This window comes from Homo sapiens, chromosome 3, assembly GCF_000001405.40.
Source record: "Homo sapiens chromosome 3, GRCh38.p14 Primary Assembly".
Taxonomy (NCBI): domain Eukaryota; kingdom Metazoa; phylum Chordata; class Mammalia; order Primates; family Hominidae; genus Homo; species Homo sapiens.
The window spans coordinates 134,667,768-134,687,494 of NC_000003.12; the positions used below are offsets into that span (position 1 = coordinate 134,667,768).

Genomic DNA, 19,727 nt, shown 5'->3' on the forward strand with positions numbered 1-19,727 from the left:
AGGTTCTCTTCTGGGTAGGTGACCAAGACCCCGGGGCAAAGAGAGCCAAGCAGCTCTGCTGGGGATCATCAACTGGGTATGATACAGGAGGGCATCTTTTATTGGTGAGTAAGATGATACAGAGCAAAGTAGGCAACAAATATAAATCAGTTTGGTCAAGTTCAAATTGTATTAAAAGATATATAGACTTGATAACAGGGAAACAACAGGGTCAATGGAACACTCACAGGTCTGCCTCCAGATGTATCTGCCCTGGTGACACGTCCTGGGAGGGGACTCCTTGGCTCCAGGTGTGGTGGCCAGCATGCCTCATGCTCCGACCAGCATTGGGGTTCTGACTGAGGACAGACTTGCAGGAACCGCCTCACATCAGACCTCAGGTCTCTGCTAAAATCCTACTGATGGAAATACTTGGAACTGGAAGTGTGGACCAGTCTGGGTTGGTCTGGGGGCTACACTGTGATGCTGCCCTGGAAGGAGGAGTTGGCTGCCTGTAGAACTGTGTAAACCCAAGTCTGCACTTGGAGAACTCTTGAGTCTCTCTGACCTACTGTTTCTTGTGCAACCCTGGCCAGGTCAGGGAGGGAGGAAGCCATGAAGCCTATGGTCATGAGAACTTCTTATCTGCCAAGCTGTCTACCTCGGCCTGAAGAGGAAGCTGAGGATAGAGAAAGGCTGTCCAGGTGTGAGCTGCTCAGGAGGGGAGCTTGCCAGCAGCCCTTAGCCCCCAGGAATTGAGCCCACCTAGAGTGGAGAGCAGAACTAGGAGGTGGCATTATAAAGTAATCACTTCCTTGACCATCAAGACAAGCCAAGAACATATCATGGAGCTGCTTTTAGCAAAGCAGATTTTCAGTATCTTCTAAGTCACTTTCTGTCTGAGTGGTGTCCAGTTCACCCTCATGATAAAATCACTTATATTTTTTCTTTTAACTGAACTCTATGGTTCTTCAGGTTGACTACCACTCACATCTTGTAGATTTCCACATTTCCATTTTTCACTTTCCATTTTTCCCTTGGATTGGTTTCTTAATAAAGCATATCTTATTGTCACATTTCCATCAAAGACCACCATGTCCATCTCTGCCACCTCCACTACCTCCACCACCTTCACTCCCAACCCCAACCCTCAAAGAACTCGTCTTATATTTCAGAGACCCTCAATTTTCAAATTAGCAAGCAATGAAAGGGAAGCTGACTGGTGCGGTCTAAGGAGCACAGACCATGTATTTAGGGCAGTATGCTTCCTTCTTCTTCCTTTTTTTTTTGAGACAGGGTCTTACTCTGTTACCTGAGCCTGGCTGGAATTCAGTGGCATGGTGGTCACTGCTCACGGCAGCCTTGACCTCCTGGGCTCAAACAATCATCTCACCTCAGCCTCTCGAGTAGCTGGGACTGCAGGCATGTGCCCCTACACGCGGCTTAATTTTTTAAATGTTTTTTGTAGAGAGAGGGTTTTGCCATGTTGCTGGCTGATTTTAAACTCCTAGGCTCAAGTGATCTGCCCACCTCGGCCTCCAAAGGTGCTGAGATTACAGGCGTGAGCCACCACACCTGGCCCTACTCTTTGTGAGCCTGTTCTTGGGGTTCTGGTCAGATACTGTGTTGGGGTGATGTCCTGCCTTCATCCTCTACCCACTCCCTCCGCCCTGATACTTGTGGCCCACGTAATCCAGAAGTCTGGCAGTGCAGTAATGAGGAGGGGGGTCTTGGGCCCAAGTTGCTTTTCAGCTGGTTGGCATAGTATGGCTGCCCCAGGCTGCCCCAGGTACTATCAATTCTGATTGATCAGCTTCCGCATGGTGTGGATCATTAAATATTTTGCACAACACCAGTGCTACCCCATGAGAACTGTGACTCAGTTTATTTTACTTATTGAGGAGGCTAATGGTGATTTCAGTGATGACAAAGCTCTTTAGCTCCATGGTTTCTGTAGGACTAAAGTGTCTGGTTAATTGAATCAAGATTTTAAATAAAAATAGAGCCAGTACATGTTAAAAAGATGGAATCTGGGGTATGGCAAATAATTTCTGTGCACAAGAAAAGGTTTTAATGGTTACCAACTAGATTATTGCTATAGACTGAATGTTTATATCCCCTCAAAATTCATATGTTGAAACCTAATCCCCAATGTGATGATATTTGGAGATGGAGCCTTTGGGAAGTGATTGGGTCATAAGGACAGAGCCCTTCTGAATGGGATTAGTGCCCTTTTAAAAGAGACCCTGAGAGCTCCCTTGCCCTTTCTGCAATGAGAGGTTATGGTGAAAAGTCTACAGCAACCTGGAAGAGGGCCCTCATCAGAACCCCACCATGCTGGGACCCTGATCTCAGACTTTCAGCCTCTAGAACTATGAGAAATAAATTTCTGTTGTTTATATGCCGATCAATAATAATTTACTATAGCAGCCTAAATTAAGATAATAATCCAAATCAAATATGATTTTTGAGGCTCTCTGAGCTATTTTCACAGAAAGTTTTACAAGCTATTTGCCTCCAATATGAACACACTCTTCCCCAAACCACACACAGTCCCTTTGCATATAAAATTTAAATTTTGTTAAAAAAAGAGTTGCTAGCTATGGGGGTCCCTGATTTGATGAAAACACTTGAGGAAATGCTCTGGGGGAATCTTAGATGGTCATAGTCAGAGCCTCCAGTGTGAAGAGAACAGAGTGGGGATCAATGGAGAAAATAAGGCAGTGTCCCATCATTGCAAGGAAGTTCCTTATGGAGTCAGCCAGCCATGGAACAAGAGATGATGCTGTTGAGAATAAATGGTAAATTCCTAACTCTCACATTAGCAGGACAGTGAAGTCTGATGACACCATGGCTGGCTGTGGATGAATGGACTACTTAGAAACTGAATATAAACTGTTACCGTAATTTTGGAGAGCTATTTGGCAACATCTGATAAAACTGAAAAGTGTATACCTCATGAACCAGGTCAGATCATGTACATGGTTGCTTATCACAGCAGAGTTCATAAAGCTTAAAAATGGGGAAATGTCTATGGCAGGAGGTATTGTATAAATCATGGAGTCCTCCCATACTGTATACTGTAGAGCAGTTACAATGCACTAGATCTACATGGAAACGTGTGGATGAACATCTACAACACAAAACTGAATGAATTAACTACAGTTAGAAGGATATTATAGTATGACATCATTTAGCTATAGTTTTAAAACATGCAAAACAATATATATTGTCTACAGATACATACATTTGTGGTAAAAGTCTAAAAAATGAATAGAATGCACCACAACTTCAGAATAGTGTTTCCTCTGGGGCGGAAGGGAGAAGAAGGCATTGGAGAGGGATTCATAGAGATCATCAATACATGTGTCATATTTACTTTTTAAAAAAGATCTGACTACACAGCCATAAAAAAGAATGAAATCATGTCCTTTGCAGCAACATGGATGCAGCTGGAGTCCATTATCCTACGCGATCTAACTCAGAAACAGAAAAGCAAATACTGCATATTCTCACTTATAAGTGGGAGCTAAACAATGGCACACATGGACATAAAGAGGGGAACAATAGACACTGGGGCCTCCAAAAGAGGGCAGGGTGGAAGCGGGCTGAGGGTTGAATGATCACCTATTGGGTACGATGTTCATTATTTGGGTAATGGGTGCATTAGAAGTTCAATCCCCACCAGTACTGCAATATACCCATGTAACAAATGTGCACATGTATGCCTTATCTAAAATGAAATAAAATTAAAAGAAAATCTGAAGCAAACATAGAAGAAAAATGTTGACCTTTGTTCACTTCCAGTGGCGAGCATGTGGGTATTTGTGATATTACCAACTGTACTTTTCTGTATGCTTGAAACATTTCATAAGGAAAATAATAAATGTGCAAAGACATAGGAAAATCCAGAGTCCTGCTTTTAAGGAAGTGTTTAAACAAAAAGCTGCAGGAGTGTCTGCTGCTGGGTACAGTGAACAAATGCTTTCTACACAGGGGTGGCAGAGTGGTGGGGGTGGCCTGAATGAATGAAAAATCAGAAAAAGGGTTTGAGCCCTTGCCCTGACTCTCATGGCTTTTGGGACATTTTAGTTGGTGGCGATGTCCACCAACTGAGCTGTTTTCTCATCTGTGAAATGGGTTGCTGTGAGCCAAGGGAGGCAATGTGTGTGGATGTAGGTGGGGAGCAGTGAGTCACACACAGTGAGGGTGAGGACCTGGGCTGGCCAGAGCTGTCCTCCAGAAACCTGCAGTGATAGATGGTTGTCAAGTAATACCTCAACAAGTGTGTAGGGTGGAGTGTTGAAACCAATTTCAAAAATGACTCTCCTACCTCTCCAAGGACCGCCAAACCCCATCTGTAAAAAATGGGGTACACTGATTATATCATTGGCCACCAGAGTCAGATTGAATTCATACTATCACCCAGTCACTGCCATGTGTTCATGTGTCACCTCTCTGAGTTTTTTCTTGCAGCTAAAAATGAGTAATAATAGTAGCATCTGCCTCGTTAGGTTATTCTGAGGAATAAATGAGATTTCACATATAAAGTGCTTAGCACAGACCTCAGCACTTAGTAAGCTGTCAGAAAATGTTAACTGGTTATTGTGACCATTGTTACTTCTGGGTCTGAGCCTAAAAACAACTACCAAGAAACATTTTGCTAGCTTAGATTCAGTGATATTTATGACTTGAAAATAAGGCCAAGGAGAATATGGTTGCTAAATTCAAAATTGTCATGATTCTGGTTTATTTTCTTCCTAATTAGATATTCTGTAGCTTTTATAATTATGCCTCTGAAAAAGGGGGAAAGGCAAATAATCAGAAATCTGGCAAAAGGCAGCTGATTTTGCACCTCTTTCTTGAACACTCTCATTCCGGGGGCTCCCAGTTTCGTCATAAATGGCTTCTCTTCCCAATCTCTCCCTTGCCTTCTCTCCATGCTGGCTCTTGTCTTCCTCTTACTGTTGGTCCCTTCTGTCCTGGCTCTCTACGTACTCATTCTGTCTTCTGGCTTCAGCTCCAATTATGTGTTGGATACCTGGCCCCTTGCCCCAGCCCAAGCCTCCATCAACCATTGCCTGGACCATGTGGTAGCTCCCTCCCCATCTCGCTCCACAGCACAGCAGAGTGAGTGTTTAGCAATGCAGCTCTAATCATGTCATGTCCTGGCTTACGTTGTTTCAATAGTTTCCCTTTACTTATAGGATGAAGCTCCAATCCTTGGTAGGACCTGTAAGGCCCTGCATGGGTGGTCTTAGCATCAAGCCTGAGCTCTCCCACCCTTCATAGTACTTCCACCCCTCCGTGAAAACTCCAGGATTCAACTGCCCTGAATGAGGTGGATCACATTCTCTTTTACTCTTCATCAGGTCTTCAGGAGTAAATTTTGTGCCTTTGTTCATACCTAAAGACTGTAATCATTAAGGAGATACCACCATCCATCAAGAACCTCGTCCCAGAACCCCTGACCTCTGTTAACTCCAGTGCTTTTCACTCATCCTGTCCTAGAACTACCTCCTCTCTGAGATCTTCTCCAACCACAACCTGACGTCCCCCCTCCAACTGTCTCATGGCCTCATATAGAAGCCATTGGACTTCCTGGAGACCTCCAGTCCTGAAGTCCCACCCTCCTCCCTGGCCATCAGCTCCTTTTGGCCTCTCTTCCTTCCCTGCAATGCGTGGTGCCTTCAGTGGTCCATCAAAATGGCTCTCTCACTACCTCCCAGGATTCTCTCATATCCCTCCTTCTGCCACACACGCCTGACAAAACATCAACCCTGGCTCAGTGTGGCAGCCAGCCTGGAGAACAGAACATGGCCCGCCCTGAGGGTCAGGACCTCCAGTAGCAGCTGGGCCCTTGGTGCTGCCCTTTGTCCTTTTGTGTACCCTGGATTGTCTCATCTCCATTCTTCTCTGGAACACCTGAAACCTTCATCCCTTTCCTTCTGAGTCCTCAATTTAATCCCTTCCCCATCCCCTCCACCAGCAGATGACCTCATCTCCTACTACTCCTGCAGACCACCTACAGACTTATGCACAGGCACACCATTCTCTCCCTTCTGCAGGACAACCCCAAATCTGGGCTCATTGGCCACATTCTGTGGTGAGCACCCGTATTTTTGCTACCTGTGGTCTATCAATCACTCTTCCGGTAAAACAGAGCCCCAAGGTTTATTTGGGGGCCCACCATCTCTTACTCTGATCCCAGGTTTTCCTGAGGTTAATCCTATGTCCAGGTCCATGTCTAAACTAATCAGCAAAATTCATTCCATTGGACACAGTGATTAGCTTGTGGTTGTGCACATGAACCAATTTGGATCAATGAGAACCTGACCCTGACTTTTAGTGTACTGTTGGGGTGAGGTGTACTGTCTTTCCTACAGAACACAAACTTCCAGCTGTAGAAAGTCATCTCATAGTGTCAAGAAGTGAGTCTGTCATCAACAAAATATAGGCAAACCAAATCTGGGAACATATAAAAAGATAATACATCATGAAGAAGTGGGATTTATTCTAGGAATGCAAGGTTGGCTCAACATAAGAAAAGCAACAACTGAAATATACCATATTAATAGAATAAGGACAAAAACCACATGATCATCTTAACTGTTAGGAAAAAGCATTTGACAAAATCTAACATTATTTCATATTAAAAACACTCGACAAACTAGGAATATAAGGGAACTTTTTTAATTTGATGAAAAAAATCCATGAATATCACACAGCCAACATAAACTTAATGGTAAAAGACTGAAAGCCTTCCCCCTAACATTTGGAACAGGACATGCATATCTGCTCTTACCATTGCTACTTTAAGAAGGTTCTTTTCAGGGAAATTAAACAAGAAAAAGAAACAAAAGGCATCCAAATTGGAAAGCAAGAAGCAGAACTAATTGAAGATGATATGATCTTATATAATAAAAATCCCAAGGAATCCATGAAAAATCATTAAATCTAATGAGTTTAATAAGGTAGCAGGAAACAAGATCAATATATAAAAATTAATCATTTTTCTTTACCTTAGCAGTGAACATTCCAAGAATGAAATCAAGAAAGTAGTTCCATTCACAATGGCATCAAAATGAATAAAATACTTAAGAATATATTCAACAGAAGAAGTACAAGGCTTGATACTTCAAAAGATCTTCAAAAGAAAAGGCCTTTAAAAATGAAAAACATTCTATATTCATGGATTGAAAGATTTCATATTAAGATCCCCAAACTGATCTACAGATTCAACACAATCCCAATCAAAACCAGCTGCCTTTTATTGTAGAAACTGGAAAATGCTGAGCATAAAATTCATATGGAAATGTAAGGGACCCAGAACAGCCAAAACAATGAAAAACAACACAATTGGAGAACTCATACTTTACAGTTCAAAACTTACCACAAAACTTCAGTAACCAATACTGTGTAGTCTGGCATATGAATAGACAGATAGATAAATGGAATAGAATCAAGAGTCCAGAAATAAACCCATACATCTATGGTCAATTGATTTTAAACAAGGGTGTCAAGACAAACAGGGAAAGAGTAATATTTTCAACAGACGATTCTGAGACAACTGGATATCCACATGGAAAAAAAATGAAGTTGAACAACTGTCTCATACCATAACAAACATTAACTGAAAATGTATGATAGACTTAAATGTAAAAGTTAAAACTATAAAACTCTTAGAAGAAAACATAGGTGTAAATCTTCATGATCTTGGATAAACAACCATTTCCCAGATATAACACAAAAAAGCATGAGCAATCAAATAAAAAATAAATGAATTGGACTTTCTAAAAACAAAATGTGTTTGTGCTGCAAAGGACACTATCAAGAAAGTGAAAAGTTCACTCACAGAATGGAAGAAAATATTTTAAAGTCATATGCCTCATCAATGACTCATATCTACACTATATAAACAACTAATACAACTCAATACTAAAAGACAATCTGATTAAATAATGGCCAAAGGCTTTGAATATACATTTCTCCAAAGATGGTATACTAATGACCGGTAAGCACATGAAAAGATTCTCAGCATCATTAGTCATTAGGAAAATGCAAATTAAAATCACAATGAGGTATCACTTCATGACCACTGAAAAGGTATACGTAATAAAAAAGATAGATGATAACAAGTGTTGGCAAAGATGCAGAGAAATTTGATCCCTCAAACATTGCTGGTGGGAATGTAAAATGATACAGCCACATTGGAGTGCTTCTGGCTGTTCCTCAAAAATTGTAACACAGTTACCATATGTACTACTCAGCAATTCCACTCCTAGGTATACACCCAAGAGAAGTGAAAATGTATTACTCAGCAATTCTGCTCCTAGGTATATACCCAAGAGAATTGAAAATGTAAGTTCACCCTAAAATGTATACGTAAATAGCAGCATTATTCTTAACAGCTTTAAAGTGGAAACAACCTAGATGCCCATCAACTGATGAATGAATAAACAAGCTATGGTATACCCATACAATGGAATATATTTAGGCATGGAGAAGAATGGAGCAGTGATACATGCCACAACATGGATGAACCTTGAAAAAAATCATGCTGTGTGAAAAGAACCAATCACAAAAGATGACATATCATATGACTCCATTTGTATGAAATGTACAGAATGGGCAAGTTCAAAGAGATAAAAAGTAGATTCTGGTTGCCAGGGGTTTGGGGTAGGGAAAAATGGCGGAGTGACTGTCAATGTGTGCAGGTTTTCTGGGAGGTGACAAAAATGTTCTGAAGTTAGACAGTGGTGATAGTTACACAAACTTGTTAATATAACAAATAGTGATTGTAAAGAAAAACAAATTGTAAGGGTGAATTTTATGGTATGTGAACCGCATCTCAATTTTTAAAAAGAGAATATTAAAAGTGAGTCTGTCTGAGAACGGGGTCAACAGTGAGGAATTGAGGACAGGAGATGGAGAAGGAGAAACAGGATCCCATGATATCACTTGAGCCCCTATAATCAGTTGTGCCAGAAGTCAGACTACCTTGGAATGTGTCAGTTATGTGAGCCAACACATTCCCTGCTTCCTAGGTTGGGGTGGGTCGGATTTTCTATCGCTTACCCCCAGAGGAACCTAGCCTGGCAGACATGTCCTGTGCCTTCCTCTGGGCAACGCTGTTTCCTTCTGCATTTCCATCTCCACGTATTGGCTCCTCGCTCATGCTTCTTCCACTAGAAAAATAGTTCTCCCGGCCAGGTGCAGTGGTTCACGCCTGTAATCCCAGCACTTTGGGAGGCCGAGGCAGGTGGTTCACGAAGTCAGGAGTTTGAGACCAGCCTGACCAACATGGTGAAACCCCGTCTCTATTAAAAATACCAAAAAAATTAGCTGGGCGTGGTGGTGCGTGCCTGTAATCCCAGCTACTGAGGAAGCTGAGGCAGGAGAATTGCTTGAACCCGGCAGGAGAATTGCTTGAACCCGGCAGGCGGAGGTTGCAGTGAGCGCAGATGGCGCCATTGCACTCCAGCCTGGGCAACAGAGAGAGACTCCATCTCAAAAAAAAGTTCTCCCTTGACTTTACTTCGCACCCTTTTCTCTTCCTCATTTCACTCAAATCTCCCAAAGAGTGGTCATCCACACTTGCTGTTTCCGTTTCCATGTGTTTACCTCTGAACCCTCTTCTTCTGGGTCCTGCCCCACACTGCGCGGGCACTCTACTGCTCCCCTGTGGCCACATGCAGCAGGTGCACCTTCATGGTCCTCTTGTGCTTGTCCCACAGGGTTGGTGCCCACCTACCTCCATCTGGGGGAGCTCTGAGTTCTCTGGGCTTCCCTTTGACCTTGCTCCTCAGCTTCCTCGATGGCCCCTGATTTCTCTGCTCATTCCTGGACATTTGTGCCTCACTGACTCTGGCTAGGGCTAGGGTTAGGGTGAGGGTTAACCCTAACTGCTCTCATCTTCTCCTCCTTCTCCCTGGGCTGCTGCCTCCATGCTCAGGACTTTGAGCTCCATTCCTCATGACTGAATCCCTTGCCTGAGATTCAGATTAGCCCTCCCCTGTTCCCCACTTGTTTGGAAGCACCCCCATGGACGCAGTCACTCATGCTGGCAACATTCCTCCTCCCTCTCCTTCCCTTCACATAGTCATGCAGTCACCAAGTCACGCCGTGTCCCAAGTATTCCTGGCATGCTTTCTCTCTCCACGTCCCTATCACTACCACCCTCTGTGCCAGTCTGCTTGCTGGTCTCTTTGTCTCCAGTCTTCTCCCCTCCAGTTCCCCTTCTTGCACTTGATTTTAAAACACAAATCTCAGTATGCCACTCCCTGCTCAAACCCACAGGGGTTCAAGTGCAAGCCTTTGGCAGGGCACCTGGGCCACCTGGTGCTGGGCTCCCACCTGCTTCTCAGATGCCCTCCCGCTGCCTCTGCTCATGCTGTGCTCCTCCAGCCCAGAGCTGCTTGTTGGTAGCCACAGGGAACATGCTGCCCTGTTTCTCTCTGTGATGTGTTGCTCTCCTGCCCTCCGCTCCTTCCTGACACATTCCTATTTCCCTTAAGACTGGGCCAGGTGACAACTTCTTGGAAATACTTTTCTGGACACCCCACTCCAAGTCCATCCTCTCTGTACCCCCACCCAGGCCAGGTCATGTGCTCTTCCTCTGGTTTCCACAACCCTCTGGACTTGTCTCTATGAGTCTATTACATTGTTTAAATAGGCTTCACATCTATGCTGTGTGCTTCTGGAAGGAAAGGCTGTGCATGTTCCTGGTGCCTAGTGTAATGCCCAGCCCTCACCAGCTGCTCAATGAGTGTTTAATGAATGCTGGAGTGAACCATAACAGCTAACACTCTCCAGCCACTCACTGTGTTTCAGGTACTGCTCCAAAACCTCTTTATATATTAACTCATTTAAATCCCTCAACACTTATGAAGTGGGTTCTATAAGTGTCCTCATTTTACAGATGAGGATACCAAGGCACAAGGAGGCTAAGCAACTTACCCAAGGTAGTGCAGCTAGATTCAAGCCTAGCTCTAGGGACTTGACCCATACCCACCTCACTGTGCTGCTGCTACAGCTCTGCCTGCATCCCATGCTGACTTCTGCTCATGCACCCCCTCCACTTGGAATGTTAGTGGCTGATCACCTTCTCCACCTGGTTCAAGACCCAGCTGAGGCCCTGAGCTTGCTGGCACAGTGCAAATGGGCCCCTAACATATGACATTCATTGTAACAAAGAATAGTTCCCCCAGAGCTCATTCAGGTCTCAGTACAAATTGTCTTGTAGCCTGACAAAGAAAGCTGGTGATGTATAGACCCATTGTATACTGGGTGTTAAGAGATATCACCATTGACATCCATGCTTTTGGAAATGTCATCTTTTTTGTTGGAGGATGGTAGTTTACTCAAAAGGAAAAAGAAACATATATTTTAATATTTTTCATTTATTTGATATAATTATAGTTTATATAATGCTGCCATTTATTTGCTTTATCTTATTTAATCTTCTATATTTTCCTGTGCAGTGCTCAAGACAGGTTAAACCCATTTTATTGAAGAGAAAACTGAATATTAATGACACTAAGTAACTTGCTCAAGGCCCCACGGCTCATTTGGACCCAGGTTCGTCCACTTCTAATACTTGTGCATATTCCTTGCTTGATGTAAGCATCTGAACAATATCTGGCCACAGAGCAGAGCTGCAGTGGAGCATCATGCAGGCAGTGGGTGGCAGAAGCAGTCCTTAGGAGTCTCGGGAGCAGTCCAGCAGCACATCTCACTGCAGAACAGCATGGAGGGCTTCTTACCACACTCTTACTTCACCAAGTTAATTAGGTTTTTCTCTTTAAGAACATATAAACTATTATGGACTGGCTTGTATCTCCCTGCAATTTCATATGTTGTAGTCTTAACCTCCAGTACCTCAGACTTGACTGTATTTGGAGATATGGTCTTTAAAGATCTAATTAAGTTAAAATGAAGTCATCAGGGTGGGCTCTAATCCAACATGACTGGCAATTTTGTTTGTTTGTTTTTGAGACAGAGTCTGGCTCTGTTACCCAGGCTGGAGTGCAGTGGTGCAACCTCGGCTCACTGCAACCTCTGCCTCCCAGGCTCAAGCTATCCTCCCACCTCAGCCTCCAGAGTAGCTGGGACTACAGGAGTGCGCCACCACATCCAGCTAATTTTTGTATTTTTTGTAGACACGAGGTGTTGCCATGTTGCCCAGGCTGGTCTTGGAACTCCTGGGCTCATGCCAGCCACCTGCCTTGGCCTCTCAAAGTGCTGGGGATTACAAGTGTGAGCCACCATACCTGGCCAACTGGTGTTCTTATAATAAAAGGAGATTAAGACACAGACACACACACACACAGAAGGAAGATCATGTGAAGACACAGGGAGAAGACAGCCATGTGCAAGCCAAGGCGAGAGGCTTCTGGAGAAACCCACCCCACCAACGTCTTGATCTTGGACTTTTAGCCTCCAGAGCTATGAGAAAACAAATTTCTGTTCTTGAAGCCACTCAGCCTGTGATACTGGCAGCCCTAGCAAACTCATACACACATACATTTTAAACTCGGTTTAATCCTGTGACCATTCACTTATGTTCAGTTTTTAAATAGTCCTAGTCTTATGACCACTGTTAAGTTCACCAAAACAAAGGCCATTGGGGAAAGGGGCCTGTAACTCTTGATTGAAACAGCCATTGAGGAGACTGTGCGCTGTGAAGCACATTGATGAGGCAAGAATTCTGTACAACCATGTGCACATCCAGCTGGGCCCATCACTCCCCGAGGGGTCTGGGGCAATAAGTAGACTTTACTGAGCCTCAGTTTCCTCAACTTCAAGTCAAGACATATGACTTTAAGATCTCTTCCAACCATTCTCTGATGGAAGAGGGTGTAAAATATCTGGCTTAGTGATGCTTGAAGCATACAGGTTTTAGTTTGGGGAAGTCTAAAGCCCCCACCAACCTCTTCCTATTGAAAAACTTAAATACAAAAGGCTCTTTGTTTCCTTTGCAAGATAGTTCCTTATCGAGCTAGTGGCTCGAAAAGAAGAGAGCTCAAAGAGATCTGAAAGAGCCTGGAACTGCCAGCTGATGGAGCGGGTAGCAGTTTTACAAGGACTTCAACGAGGGCCTTTGAAACTTTCTGCTATTCAAGTCTGTTTAGAACTTGCTTCTGAAGCCTGATATCTTTCAACTGTGGTGTCTTAATTCTTGCCTCCTGCCCTGGCAGCTGAGCCCAGAGGAGCTTTGCAGGACAGTGGCACTTGTTAGTGAAGCCACAAGACAGGTGGCACTCGGGACAGGAGCCTCTGAACACCCCAGGCAGGCCTCGGAGCAGGACAAGGTTCAAGGGCTGGGGAGAGCCAAGGGGGAGGGGCAGACCCCTCACAGGGCCCTGTTCCTATAAGGGGTCCTCTGATTTTGAGGAGAGAGCCAGGAAAGCAGACACCATGAAAAGAGAGCTGGGGGTCGGGGGGTGGTGGAATTAGCCTTCTGTGGCTATTCAGGTGGGAACATGTCACTTTACTCGGTGGCATATTGTAAACTGTGAAGTGAGGGACGGTTGCCTGGCACCTTCAGAGACGATCTGTGAACACGTGGCCCACAGGAGCCTGGCCCAAGCACAGACAGGAAGGACAAGAGCTGCTGAAGGTCAATTAAGGCAGAGAATCATAATCTCAGGGTACATGGTGCTCCAGGAGGCCCATAAGGAGGCATCGTGCAGTCTATGAGGCCCTGAACCCACATGCAATGTGTGGTCATGTTGACCTAGCATGTTAAGAAGCTGTGATTGGTAGTAAAATACAGTGAAGGTTAAACCAGAGCCTGCTCGACTGTTTGTTAGTGGAAGGACTACTGTGAAGCTATGGCAGGAGATGGAGGAGCCTGGCAAAAGGGGTTTAGTATGAAAACTGTTTGGAGTTTATCCATTCCTGCGGAGGCATGGGGGCGGGAAAGAGCGAGTAGATCCAGGGGCTGGTGCCAGCTCCTAACACAGAAACACTTCCAAGAGGAGGAAAGAAGTTCAAAACAAAACAGATGTTGCCATTTGTTGTTGTGGCAGGCATTTCACGTGGATGATCTCATGCGGTCCTCACAACCACTCTATGATGTGAGTATCACTGCCCCATCTTATAATATTTGAAGAAACTGAGGCTCAGAGAAGTTAAAAATGTGCCCAAAGTCAACCAGCTAACAAACAAATCTTGCTGGAGCAGCAACCCAGCCCCGCTGGCCCCCTTGGCTGCTCTAGTTACACTCTGCAAGCCATCTGAAGAGTTTGTGCCTCTGGATCACCCAGCTCCCCTTATTCTAGTTCTGCAGGCAGAGAGCAACCATTTGAGAGCTCAGAGGGTGAGTTTTCTGAGTGGCTAAGCCTCTGGGAGGGAGTTCTTTGAGCAATGCCATGAACTGGGGCTCTGGTCTAATGTATCTCCCATTACACCTGATAAATGGTCTTTCTGAGCCATCAATTGGTTTCATTTAGGAGCGGGTCAGGAGAATTAGTTCCTAAAGCCTGTTACTTCTGAGTGCCCTGGAGGATTGACTTCTGGGGTTATCCAGTCACTCTGGGTACCTTTTTAGCTAAAACAAATATAATTGAGAAATGAGTCTGCAATCGTACTGAGAGATGTTCACATCGGTTACCAAGAAGAGCAAATTACTAAGAGTTGCAAATCATTAACTAGACATCCTAGTTCCTAGGGCCCTGTAAGCCAATAGCAAAAGCTCTAAAAGAAGGAATTTGTTGGGGACTAGGGAATGGGCAGGAATGCAGGAGGGGGAGCCCGCTGTGTGATTTGTTCTTTCTGAATCGCTACTTCTGTATCTCTGGAACACTATTATTAATAAGTATAACCTGTGGGATATGAAATATTTTTGAATACTTTCTGCTTTAATCCATTTGTTCATCCACCCACACAAGCAACCATTCAGCCTGCATTGAGGAGTCTATTAGGAATGTTACTGATGAAGATGAGAGCTGGCATTCGTCCCATGCTTACTCCATGCTCGGCACTATTTTGAGTGCTTTACTCATTCAGTGCTCACACCACTACTCAGAGGAAGGTACTATTATCCTCATTTTACTGCTAAAGAAACTGAGGCACAAATAAATTAAGTGATGCACCTATCATGCTCAAGGCAGCAGGAATGGGAGAATGGATGGGAACTTGTGGGCAAGCATCAGACTTGGAGTCTTGAGTGACAGAGTGTCATTAAAGGGCGTTTAGTAGGGACCCTAGATTCTATGAACAAAGCAACCACAGTTCTGCTTTTAAACTTTTTCTGAAGATTATTGAACTGTTATGCCTCCCCTACCTCTGAAAGAGTTTGTGGAAATGATGAGATAGACTAGCTGCAGCTACCACTGGGCTTTACCCATTGGAAGTGGGAATGGAAGTTTTTAGGCACCAGAAGAAATTAGCAAATGACATATCTGCACCATGAATGCCATTATATGCTTTGCTAAAGCAAAGAGGCCTTGCATGGTTTTCATCATCTGACACATGATTAAACTTTGTAAAGTTATATTTTAATGTTTTGAATCCATGATCTTGAAGAAAATAGTTTTGTATCTAATTCTGTGAGTGTGAAGGTTGCTAAGAGACTATTCATAGAAGTATACAACTTCAGAGCTGGAAGGGACCTAGGAGATTGGGTCCAACATCCTCATTTTACTGAAAAGGACCTGGATGTGACTTGTTCAAGGTCAAACAGCATGATTTGGTGTACATTAGGAATGATTTAAGTATTTTATAAAGGGCCAAGAACTAAGTAATAAGGGACATCATTCTTCTCTAAGGTTGAGATTTGTTATCAACATAAACTCCATCAGTTACTAGTGATAGAAAAACCATCTACAGTGGTTAAGTCAAAAATCAAGACTATATTCCTCATTCATGTAAATGAAAACTCCAGGACACTTGTTTCAGACATGGGGTTTGAATGATGTAATCAGGACTCAGTCTGCCTCTCATTCTGCTTGCTTCTTTCCATGTTTGCTTCCTTTTCCAGCAAGTTCTTCTCACAAGCCACCAAAATGGCCCTAGCTGCTCTGAGATGGTTCCCATCTTTATAGGTTTAGCAGACAAAAGATCCTCCCCCTTCCCACCTCTACCAGTTCCATTTCATTAGCTTCCATTGACTGGGTTGGGGTCACCTGCCCACTCTTGAAGTAAGCACTGTTAGTGGTGAGATGTGGTATTCTCATGGGTTAGACCCCAGCCACATGCTCACCTGTGGATCTGGGTGGGGTCAGGCCCACTGTAAATCATAGACCCCAGGGAAAAATGGGGTGCATAGTAACAATCCCAGGAGAAGTGGATGCCTGGGAGGTAAAACCACAGATGTGTACTACAAGGTTTCATGAGAGCAAATGGTCCTAAGACTTTTTTGTTCTTCTTTGGCTTTTGCAATGGAAAGAGATGTAGTGTTGACTGAGGCTGTGAGGAAGAGTTGAGAACATCTTTTGGGTTGAGGATAAAGAACTTTTCCCTGACTAAGGAGGGGACTAAGCTGTTCTGGGCTGAGTGTATGGTTCCAACTGCAGGGAACTATCTCTCTATTTCAACGTTCCTTCTTTTCCGCTGAGATCATGCCGCCCAGATAAAGTCTTCCTTTCCATCTTTTCTATGGTTCTCTGGTCAAATAATTCCACATGGGGACATGTATTTCTTGCTTAAGCACAGGCTCCTTCCTTAATCTTTTGTCTTCTTCCACTGTCTCTTTTGACTTTCGCCTAGCTATCTCAAGAGAACCTTTCTCATTCAATTCATCTATGGACATACTTCCTGCCATCGCAAGGACGCTTTCCTGCTACAAATAATAGAAAACTCCCTCTAATTCAACAAAGGAATTCACCATCCTGCAAAGCAGGAAGTGCAAAGGTAGGGCCGACTGGGCCGGGCACATTGAAGTCAGGCTTGGTTTCCCCATGGTCTTCCTGGTTTGTGCCCATCTGTTGCAACTTTGTCCCCAGGCAGACCTCAGCTGTGCTTGCAAGGTGGTCTTCTGCAGCAACAGGGACAATATACCTTTGGGTTTGTATTTGGCAACACAGCAAGGAAACTTCACTTTCACTCCCAGTTCACTTTCAGTCCAACTGGACCAATTTAGGCCTCATATCCCTCTCTGGACCCTGACAGTTGTCAGAAGGATCCCTGAACCCAGCATTGGCATGAGATATGCTTATTGTGATGGCTTCCCTAATCTGGATCCTCGCTGGGGCTAGGGAGAATCCAGGGTCCCTAGGGTCACATGGCCTGATTGGAGGAAGGAAGAAGGATTACATGGATGCTGGGTAGACATTATAGTGTGTTTAGTTAGGCTGCACGTGTTTCATATGTTCTAACATAAATATTTTTTTCATTAAAAGACAGTATTTCTGAATTTATGGTTTAAACAGAGCTTTATGGATTAAACTTATAACCTAAACATCATGTATAAAATTGTTTGTGTGGAGAAAATGCATATCTTCATGCCAAACATCTTATTCATAAGTGTATTTATACCAATTTAAACTACGTTGAGATGAAGCAATGATGAAAATAATTAAGACTTTGGGGGAACTCTGACCACCTAGACCCCTTGCAGAGCTTTGGGCAGCACTCTGTTGACCCGTAGCATCCAGGTAAGTGCAACGTGAACACAAACATACTGAAGCCTTCTCTCTGGGGATGCCCATCTCACCCCTTGTATGGGATTCTTATGTGTTTTTATCCTTTGCCTTTTGTTCTAGAGTCTGGGCATAAACATGTGGCTGGTAGCTCTGTGTGTATGGGTTATAGTCAGTGGTTGGAACAAAACAACTTGCGGTTTCATCTCTGTGTGCCCATCTTTATCCCTTTCTGAAGAATGTCCTGGTTTGGGGACAGAAGAGCTTGGGCAATAAGAAGCCACAGATGATGCCACCCTTTTCTTAGCTGGTGCTTTTCACCTTCTTCTGGCTGGTGATTTATGTGATTCTCTGGAAAATGTATGGAGAAACTCTAACTTTAACTACTGAACCCAGGAATTCCCCTCTGTCTAGTCTCTCCATCAGAACAGTTACCAGGGCTGGGAACACAACCCAAGGTGATGTCGTGTACACAAAGGATGAGAACAGGAGCTCGTCAGATCCACTTTTGGGTCTGGCCAAATGGGCTTCAGTGCCCTCCTGTATAAAGTGGGGGCACCTCTCCCAGAATTTGTCTGCCACGTGTTTAGGGCCTACTCCATGCCAGGCTCTGGGCTACCAATGTTACCTACATTTCCTCTTCTAATTCTCAAACACTGACTTGCTCCAAGTCAATCAGCCTGTGGCAGGGCTGGGGTCCAAGCCCTGGTCTGTCTGACTCCGATGTCTGTGCTGTAAGCAACTCCTCTCCTCACAGGGCTGCACAAGGGAAGAAGTGGGAAAGAGCATGGAAAGAACCTGGCACAGTACCTGGCACTGGGTGATCAACAAATGGTGGTGGCGGCTGCTGCTGCTGCTATGAAAAGCAAAAGTCCTAGATAATCCCCCAAACTGACAGCCGGCCCTGCACAACCTACAGCTGGCCATGGTCTCCCTGAAGACTTGTTTATTGGCCTTGTGGTTGTCCAGAGAAAGAGTTATCTGTCCTCTCTCAATTTCCCAGGCCTTCAGAAGGTAGGCTCAAGTTACTGAGCATGCACACCTGTTTTTCTGGGCCGGGAGGGGCTGGAGAGCTCAGGTGACCAAGCACACTTCTGACCTGGGCTAGGGTCAGCAGGCTGAGGTACTGGCCAAGAGTCTTCTAGCCAGGGGCAGTAGCCAGGATCCCACAGTCAGAAGCCTTGCAGGGGAAGTGGGTGTTGCTCTGGGCCTTGAAGCTTTGCTTATTTTATCCTGATCCTCCACTGTCCACAGCGGACATAAGCTTGACTCATCCCCAAGTCAGCTCCACATCAGCAGTGGTAAGAAGGGCTGCTCCCAACTCAGGGAAAGGTCACAAAGACGCAAGTAACTGCAACTACAAACACAGTGAATGCTAATGGGTGCTTCTTGAGTACCAGCAACGGTGCTTAGTGCTTTGTTTGTAGTCTCATGTGAGCCTCACAAACACTCTATGGAGTAAAGCAATATCATTGACACCATTTTAGGGACGGAGAAACTGAGGCCCAAAGAGATGGGATAACTTGCCTGACTGCACACAGCATGTACAATATGACTTGCACTAAATACATCTAGCATGGAAGTTTGTTTTCTGCACCATGATGCAGAAAACTCCCTCCTCCATGCAGAGTCTGAAGGGCCTTCCCCCAGAGCAAAATACTGGGAGAGTACTATTTTATTTCATTTTCTTTCAGTAAACTTTAGCACAATGACAATGCTGGGAAAGGTAGTCAACCATGCTGGTGCTCACTTCATCTACAAGACCCACAATGGTCCTACAAGCTATAGCTCAGAGAGGTCAAGCAGCTCACTCCAGATCACACAGCTCTCTGTGCTTTCATTGTACCAACTTTGGTCACCAGGAAAAATGCATCATGGAGAAATTCTCAATACACATTAGAACACACATTTTCTGATACTCAGCAAGTGTGCCTTTATCTTCATCAAATTTCTCAAAGGTTACTACTACCCCCTCTCACAACTTTATGTGATTCTCTGGAAAACATATGGAGAAACTCTAACTTTAACTTGACTCAGACTGCAGCAAACACAGAGCGGTGAGCTTCAGCCTGGATGAACGTGCAGCTTATTGCCTAGGTGCCTGAAGAGCTGGGAGATAGCACCATTCTTATTGCTGTGGGGTTTTCTCCAGTGGTTATCTCT

The 19,727-nt window shown here is 44.4% G+C and overlaps 1 protein-coding gene across 2 annotated transcripts in view; it reads left to right on the plus strand.

Annotated features, from left to right (window-relative positions):
- The window catches only part of CEP63 (centrosomal protein 63), a 296,836-nt gene that overhangs the window by 182,044 nt on the left and 95,065 nt on the right, over positions 1-19,727 (plus strand). The window contains exon 15 of one of the 2 annotated variants that reach the window (XR_007095733.1): positions 5,187-9,637. The exons of the other annotated variant lie outside the window; for it this stretch is intronic. The gene's annotated coding sequence lies outside the window, so the exon portion shown is untranslated. Of the gene's footprint in view, positions 1-5,186; positions 9,638-19,727 lie in introns of those variants that run through there. 2 annotated transcript variants of the gene reach the window in all.